The 8,644-nt window shown below is 37.0% G+C and overlaps 1 protein-coding gene across 7 annotated transcripts in view; it reads left to right on the top strand.

Moving 5' to 3' along the window:
- Positions 1–8,644, top strand: part of PIAS1 (protein inhibitor of activated STAT 1) — a 139,533-nt gene that overhangs the window by 119,062 nt on the left and 11,827 nt on the right. For all 7 annotated transcript variants that reach the window (XM_017022688.2, XM_011522126.3, XM_017022689.2 and 4 more), the window contains 4 exons: positions 356–516; positions 2,261–2,391; positions 3,098–3,278; positions 7,836–7,978. In XM_017022688.2, coding sequence (XP_016878177.1) covers positions 356–516; positions 2,261–2,391; positions 3,098–3,278; positions 7,836–7,978 — 616 coding nt within the window. The remainder of the gene's footprint in view (positions 1–355; positions 517–2,260; positions 2,392–3,097; positions 3,279–7,835; positions 7,979–8,644) is intronic.

Genomic DNA, 8,644 nt, shown 5'->3' on the forward strand with positions numbered 1-8,644 from the left:
AAAAACTGGTGAAAGCACTCTCTCCAGAAAAATGCACACACGAAATTTTGAATGTAATTCAAGGGGTTTATGACCCTCTCCACCAAAAGCTGATCTGTGAGCTGTGGATTTTAGTAAATAACCCTTGTTGTAGACTTTCCATAGTCATTTTGTTTGATAGCCAAAGAAATACTGTCATTTTTTAACCTATGGATATTTCACAGGAAATGTGTTTAATGTTCTTCTACATTGATGAAAAGTCAACACTGTATGCTTTAAATCAGCATGCCTACCTGTTGTGTTCTAGGAAATTTTTGTCAAAGCTTAAATGTTGAATAGCAATTATCTAATATTTACTTTTTCTCCCTTTTTAAAGCTTGGTAAAATGCGGCTGACAATTCCGTGTCGGGCCCTTACATGTTCTCATCTACAATGTTTTGACGCAACTCTTTACATTCAGATGAATGAGAAAAAACCAACCTGGGTTTGTCCTGTCTGTGATAAGAAGGCTCCATATGAACACCTTATTATTGATGGGTATGTTACTTTAAGTGTTTTTGGTACCTTGAAATGACCATATATTATCTGGGTTTGTTACACATCAGATTTGGGATGAAAATTCTAAGTTATATATTTGTAGGATTTTTGTGAGTCTGCAAACCAATATTTTCAAAGTAATTTATTTCAAATTAGTGTTATGAATATTTTATCTTTTTAAATTGATGTTCCCTTGGTTTGAAAATGCGTGTGTTACTGTCAGTGCCTCCTGGCATTTGTCGTTGAAAGCACTGGTGCTTTTAAGCAGGGTGTGCTTATACCTTTTCCTTTTCCTGTCATTAGTCCATCCATCCCTAGATATGCAGACCATATTGGAACAAGAATGTATGGGGAAATTTGGGTTAACTCAGGTTCATCCAAAATTGGGCTTTTCAATAGAAGTTAGCCTATTTCTGGAGATTAGATCCACCTTCAGTCATGGTCTTCTTTTTCTTTTTTGTCTTGCCCACCTATAGCATCACAAAACCAATTATTGCTTTTAACACCTCTTTGTTTTATCTATCCTACCAGACATCTTGGAATGTTCCTCTAAATTTTCTTCTATTCTGCAGCCCCCTTTTCCTCCTGCTTTTTGCCACTAAACAAAAACAAATTGTGAAAAGGAGGACATCTCCTTGATTTTTTTGGGGATGGGGGGTTAGAGACAGAGTCTTGCCATTTTGCCCAGGCTGCTCTCGAATTCCTGGGCTCAAGTGATCCTCCTGCCTTGGCCTCCCAAAGTACTGAGATTACAGGCATGTGAGCCACCACACCCAGCCTCTACTTAATATTTCCTGTACTTTCTAGCAAAACACTTAAGGCAACTTACCTGTAGTATTTAAGAAAACATAGGAGCCTAAAGGTGGTAATATCAGAAATTAAGTATATTTAGCAATACAAGTATAACCTGGAGCTTGAAAGATGTCAGACCAGTCATGGGAAACAAACAAACAAACAACATGTAACTTAAATGTTTTATGTTTAATTTTTCAGAAATGTCGGTGATCACTTACTAGTAAATCAGAATTAAATAGTGATATTTTCCAACTTTATATGTTACATAGCTTTAGGTTCTCCCATTTCTTGTTATAAAAGCCATGTACACACATACTCTTTTAAAGAAAAATTGGAAAACACAGGAAAATAAAAAGCTTTTTTCGGTATATGATTTTCTGATTTTTGTCTTTCCATAATTGTGATTGTACACTGTTAATAATTTTTGTCCTTTGGTTTCATTTAACATTATAACCTAAGAATTTGGCCGTAATTAATTTTATGCTTTCTTTATACATGTTTTTAAATGTCTGTCACGGTATTTTATCAAAGAGATTTAACCTTTGATTACATATTTGTATATGTTTTGCTTTAGTTTATCAAATAAGACATGCTTATTGTGGGCAATTTAGAATATGCAAAAAAGTATAAAGAAGAAAAATAAATACTCATGAAGGTATCACCCAGAGGTAACTACTGTCTATATACTACTCACACAGAATTTTATTTTTGAAATGAAGCTTTCTTTTGTTGACGTTTTCTCACTTTTTGTGAACATTTTCCCATATGATTAAAAATCTTTGAAAATGTCATTTTTCATGGTCACATGATATTTTCTTACATAAATGTGACATAAATTAGGCAGCTATATTCCTAGTTAGTACTAGATTTTAAGAATAAATATAACTTAAGTTGTTCAACCTTTATGTTCATTTAAAATATATTCTAAGGATGAATTGTTTTCTTATAGCTTGTTTATGGAAATCCTAAAGTACTGTACAGACTGTGATGAAATACAATTTAAGGAGGATGGCACTTGGGCACCGATGAGATCAAAAAAGGAAGTACAGGAAGTTTCTGCCTCTTACAATGGAGTCGATGGTGAGTAGTTCTTCACAAGGAAGAGGCAGTCTCCCTACTGCTCTAAGTCTGGTTTTCAATATTAAAATCCATATATTTTTAAAAATCACTGAGCAGTTTGTGGATAGCTTAATAATTCCTATTAACTTATTGATTAAATGTTCAGAAGTAATAGAACTCCTTTTAAATTCACTTTTTTGCCAGCTTTAAAAAATTTACTGATATAAGATTTCAAAGTAATGTAATATAATTAGTCATTTGTAAACTCATACTTTTGAAACTGTACCCTTTTTAAATTTTTAACAGATTTGATACAGAGTAGTAAAGGTTCTTTTTTCATTTATTTATTTTTTCCTGGCTTTTAGTATGTTTTTGCTGTAAAGACACTATGAGTTTTGAAAATGCTATCATCGTATTTAAGTATGTCAGATACTATACAGACAAAAATTAATATACCGTCTGCTCTCAAATTACTTTTCTTCTGAAGTGGACATATGACACATTTTGATTGTTTGCTCTAATTCAGTAATTTATTATTTTGAAAAATAATTTACTATTATTAAATAATAGTTTTAAACTTAGAAGAACAGAGCCACTGTTGGTTTTCTACTCTCTGGCTCCAACAATATTGTGAATCTAAACTGTAACTGATAAACTGTAGTGACACTGAGAAAAGAGAGATGTCATAGCTCTTCCCTTGCCTTGTATTTTAATCATTCCCATATAGGATGCTTGAGCTCCACATTGGAGCATCAGGTAGCGTCTCACCACCAGTCCTCAAATAAAAACAAGAAAGTAGAAGTGATTGACCTAACCATAGACAGTTCATCTGATGAAGAGGAAGAAGAGCCATCTGCCAAGAGGACCTGTCCTTCCCTATCTCCCACATCACCACTAAATAATAAAGGGTAAGTGCTGAGACATTTAAAAAAAAAAGTAATCATGAAAATTAACTTGGCAAATAGGGATTAAAGACTTGCCAAATAAAATGATTCTTGATTGTGAAACTTAACTTAGCAATCAAAGAATAGTTTGAATTTTTCCCAGGTTTGTAATACTCTGGAGGGATTGGGGTAATGCACCAAAAGGGTACTTGGATATAGTATTCTTCATATCAAAAGATCATTCTAGTACCGTGGTTCTCAAACTGTGGTGTACGTACATCAGAATTACCTGAGAGCTTAATAAAATGCATACATTGCGCCCCCATGTCTGAGTCAGGAGTAGAGACTAAGAAAATTTGTCTTTCTAGGCCAGGCGTCATGTCTCATACCTGTAATCCTAGGACTTTGGGAGGCTGAGGCAGGTGGATTGTCCAAGCTCAGGAGTTTGAGACCAGCCTGGGCAACATGGTGAAACCTCATCTCTACTAAAATACAAAAATTAGCCAAGCGTGGTGGCATGCGCCTGTAATCTCAGCTACTCTGGAGGGTGAGGCAGGAGAATCGCTTGAACCCAGGAGGTGGAGGTTGCAGTGAGCCAAGATCGTGCCATTGCACTCCAGCCTGGGCAACAGAGCGAGACTTTGTCTCAAAAAAAAAAAAAAAAAAAGAAAGAAAAAATTTGTATTTCTAGTTAAGTTCCCAGGTGATCCTGCTCCTGCTCACAGGATGTAGAACATTTGTTCAAACTGGAATGTATGCTGTAAAATTCACCCCAAGTTGAGTGTTTCAAGTGGAAAGCAGAGGAAGACCAATGATTTAAATCTGCTTCAGAATGTGAATGAGGCTGGTAGTGAATGACTTCTGTTGCAGCACACAACATTTCCCACTTTGCAGAGTTTTCTCCCATATTTTCCATTAGTCTTATATCAATAACAGTGTACCTAGGTTATACTTCAGTTCATGAAACATTGTTATCTACTTTGTATAAAACACCCTCAGCTAAGCATGGATGATAATAAAATGAGTAAGTACAGTCTTAACCTTAAACAGCTTAGCACTTTCTGGGGGGTGGTAAAACAAGTAGCATACTCCAACTATACTCTCAAAACAGGCTGTTAGTCCTGTAGACACATCAGGGATTCTGAGCAAGATTTCTAATTGTGCTGAAGCACAATTGTAGCACACTAATTGTAAATCTAGAAATAGATGTGTCCCTTTTTAGGTATAAAGCAGGAGAATCACATGGCCTGTTGCAACTGAATAGAAGCTAACCAGAAACTCTTCCAGCAAGCATTAGGGACTAAAGAAAGAATGTAGGAGAGAGAAGGAAGTCCATAGATGGCATTGTTACAACACCAGATCAAGAGCAGGCATTTCTGTGCCTGGAGTCAAATCATTTTCAGGTTTGACATTGTATGATGAGATTAAAGATTTCTATCAGTTTGAGACCAGCCTGGGCAACATGGTAAAACCCTGTCTCTACCAAAAAATTAGCTGGGTATGGCACTGTGTGCCTGTTGTCCCAACTACTCGGAGGGCTGATGGGGGAGGATCACTTGAACCTGGGAGGTGGAGGTTGCAGTGAGCTAAGATCGTGCCACTGCACTCCAACCTGGGTGACAGAATGAGACCCCATCTCAAAAAAAAATAAGATTTCAGTCAAACATTTCACACATCGGTATTTTCATTCTACAGTAGTCCATCTTGGCATACAGACAGAAACAAAGACATTAAAAACAGTATCATCATTCTAAACAAAGTGAATAATTTAAGCACAAATCCTACTGTTATGAACATGACCTCTGATAAAAGCCTATCTTGATGGCTATAACCCAGCAAGCCTGACCTTGTTATTACACCAATGTATTTTATGTCTGAGTAGGAGAAAAGGAAAAGTCACATTACCTAAAGTTAGAACAAGTATCTATAGAATTTCAATTCCAAGATATTTTGTAAATATCAAACCATAGTATGACCAAATACACATTGTCATGTGATTTTTTTAAGTGCCATAATCACAATTTTAAAAGATATTTCATAAACCTCTGGATATATAAATACTTTTGGGCTAAATGCATCATAATATATATATTTGTTCTGTTCTTTAGACTATTAATAGTAATATGTATTTATGTAAACTATGCAATAGTATTACTGACTATATATTTTTTCTTTAAAGAAAACATTTGAGTGTTTAGGAATCTAATATTTCTTCTTTGGATATTTACTTTGCTCTTTCTCCAAAAATATTTGGAGAAAATAAAATAAATAATGTTTATTATGTTTGGAAAATTACATTAAATGCATTAAGTACTTCCTGAATTTCCCAGTGACTAATTGAACCCAGCTATAGTATTTGCAAATGCCAGACATTTCTCTCTCTATTTGCAGATAAAAACAAGAAACTTGAAAGTTTACATCCTTAGAAGGAGAATAACACACCATAGTCAACACTAGTAGCCATTTTATAATAATGACTAGTTGGTAACTGGAAACCTCAGTACAGCATATTGTGTTTGTTATTGTGCAGTATAAAGGTTGAAATGCATTTCAAAACATTATCACAAATTGAAAGAAAAGCATGCAGCCAGGAATTAGAGGCAAACACTAAATGTAAAACATTTTGTTGTCTTTAGCCACTGAGTGCTTAATGTTCATCCAGAAATTGTCTATGCTGTTTGAGATGTTTTCAAAGACTAGCATTTTAAATCCTCTCTTATAATCTCTTAGACATTGTGAGAAGACTCAGCTAATGGTAAATGGTACTTTTTCTAGATATAAGAGGTTTAACAAAGTTTCCATTAGATGAAACATTTTTATGAGGCAGACGAGAGTGTGTTTTATGCTTCATATCCCATTCATTAAAATGTGGTAGATGGTCATAACTGGAACTCTATTCCTAGAAATCCAACCTTGTCATCTCGTGAAATGTTCTTTTTTTTTTTTTTTTTTTTTTTTTTTTGAGACAGAGTTTCACTCTTATCTCCCAGGCTGGAGTGCAGTGGCACCATCTTGGCTCACCACACCCTCCGCCTCCTGGGTTCAAGTGATTCTCCTGCCTCAGCCTCCCGAGTAGCTGGGATTACAGGCATGCACCACCATGCCTGGCTAATTTTTTGTATTTTTTAGTAGAGACAGGGTTTCTCCCTGTTGGTGAGGCTGGTCTCAAACTCCCAACCTCAGGTGATCCATGCGCCTTGGCCTCCCAAAGTGCTGGGATTACAGGTGTGAGCCACCACGCCCGGCCCTCTTTTGAAATATTCTATACCACTGAAATTGCATCCCCATGCCCCAGGTACTTTACATGAAGCATTAAAAGCAAAAGACAGCCTCTTTATTGCTTCCTTTCTCTTTATTTTCTATAACACATACACCTTCAGCCTCTTGTATTGTTGGGGTAACATATAACCCTTATGTTTCCTTCTAAGAGGGCTACTATAATTGTTTTTCTTTTCAAAATTAGCTTTGTTTTTGTTTTTGTTTTGTTTTGAGACAGGCTCTTGCTCTGTCACCCAGGCTTGAGTGCAGTGGTGCAATCACGGCTCATGCAGCCTCGACCCCCCAGGCTCAAGCAATCCTCTCATCTATCTCCCAAGTAGCTGGGACTACAGATACGTGCCACCAGGCCTGGCTAAGCTTTTTAATTTTTCGTAGAGACAGGGTCTCCCTATGTTGCCCAGGCTGGGCAACTTCTGGGCTGAAACTATCCTTCTGCCTCAGCCTCCCGAAGTATGGGGATTACAGGAATGAGCCACCATGCCTGGCCCCAAAGTTAGTTAAATTATTATTTTTTCCTTCTTCTCCTTTTTTCCTTTCCCTTAATTGTTAGTAAATTTTAAAAAAAAAGCTACTTAGCTATTTAAACTTTTCACTGTTTTTTAGAGTCCTAATTCTTGTTTTATGTTTTCTTTTTCCAGTTATACTGTTCTCTCTTTAAAAACTCTCCACTACCTATTCGTTTTGGAGTATTTCTTCTTGTTTCACTACATTAGATTCAGCAGGGCTTTTATGCAAACAATGTGCTGATAACTGTACTGGGCATTGGGTATACTAAACAATACCCAGTTTTTGCCCTCCTAAAGATTACAATCTGAGGGGCCAGCTGGTAACTCCGAACCACTCAGATTGCTTCATTCCCTCTGTCTTATTATATGTATTTTCTTTGCTAGGGCATACGTATGCTTCTTAATAGCCAATACTCTGGTGTTGTTTTAAAAGGGTTTCCGACTTTCATTTGATGTAGGTATCTTTCACTCATATCCCGTTAAAGTGGCTCAACTGTACCTTTCTCTTGCATTTTGAAAGCATAGGTGATGATATTCCAAAGGCAATGTGAGGTTTGTGAATGTTGGATACCATTGCATCTGTCCACTTCTTCCTGTGGCCTCTGTTAAATGCTATTATGTATACAAATTATTTTCTCATAATTGTGTATAATCTAAATTATACATTGCTTTGCTTGGTTTTGTTCTTATTTCCAGCACTAAACCGAGGGTTCATTGTGAGATACAACCCCTTTTTTTGTTAACCTTGAGAGTTTAACTGGCTAATGAAAACTATGCCAATCTTTCCTTCTTCCAGCATTTTAAGTCTTCCACATCAAGCATCTCCAGTATCCCGCACCCCAAGCCTTCCTGCTGTAGACACAAGCTACATTAATACCTCCCTCATCCAAGACTATAGGCATCCTTTCCACATGACACCCATGCCTTACGACTTACAAGGTGAGTCACTGGTTCTTCTACATTGTCACATAGCATTATGAATGCCTTTGATCTATATAATTCTCTTCTAGGTGAATCTAAGGAAGAACTGGAAGACTGAGCCAACAGGGCCTTGGACCCAGGGAACTGAGAGAAATAATATGCCGTTGTTATAAATACTGACCCAGTTCGTTGATTGTACTGTCATCAGTAGCCAGTGTTTTACTCCCAGTGGTAAAACTAGTGCAATAATCTTTAGTTTTTGTGAGCTCCTGAGTACTCTGCAAATTGTTTTTGAATGACTGCTAGTATGTGGGTTTGAATTTTGGTATTTATGAACATTATTTTTTTTTGCCGTGGGGAACGGAGTCTTGCTCTGTTGCCTGGGCTGGAGTGCGGTGGCACGATCTCAGCTCACTACAACCTCCGCCTCCCAGGTTCAAACAATTCTCCTGCCTCAGCTTCCCGACCGAGTAGCTGGGATTATAGGCGCCCACTACCACACCAGGCTAATGTTTTATATTTTTAGTAGAGACAGGGTTTCACTATTTTGGTCAGGCTGGTCCTGACCTCGTGGTCCTCCTGCCTCGGCCTCCCAAAGTGCTAGGATTACAGGCGTGAGCCACCACGCCCAGCCCTGTGAACATTATTTATTGTACCCTGACTTTAGTTGTAATGCAACAGGCA

Source organism: Homo sapiens, chromosome 15 (genome assembly GCF_000001405.40).
Source record: "Homo sapiens chromosome 15, GRCh38.p14 Primary Assembly".
Classification (NCBI taxonomy): Eukaryota; Metazoa; Chordata; class Mammalia; order Primates; family Hominidae; genus Homo; species Homo sapiens.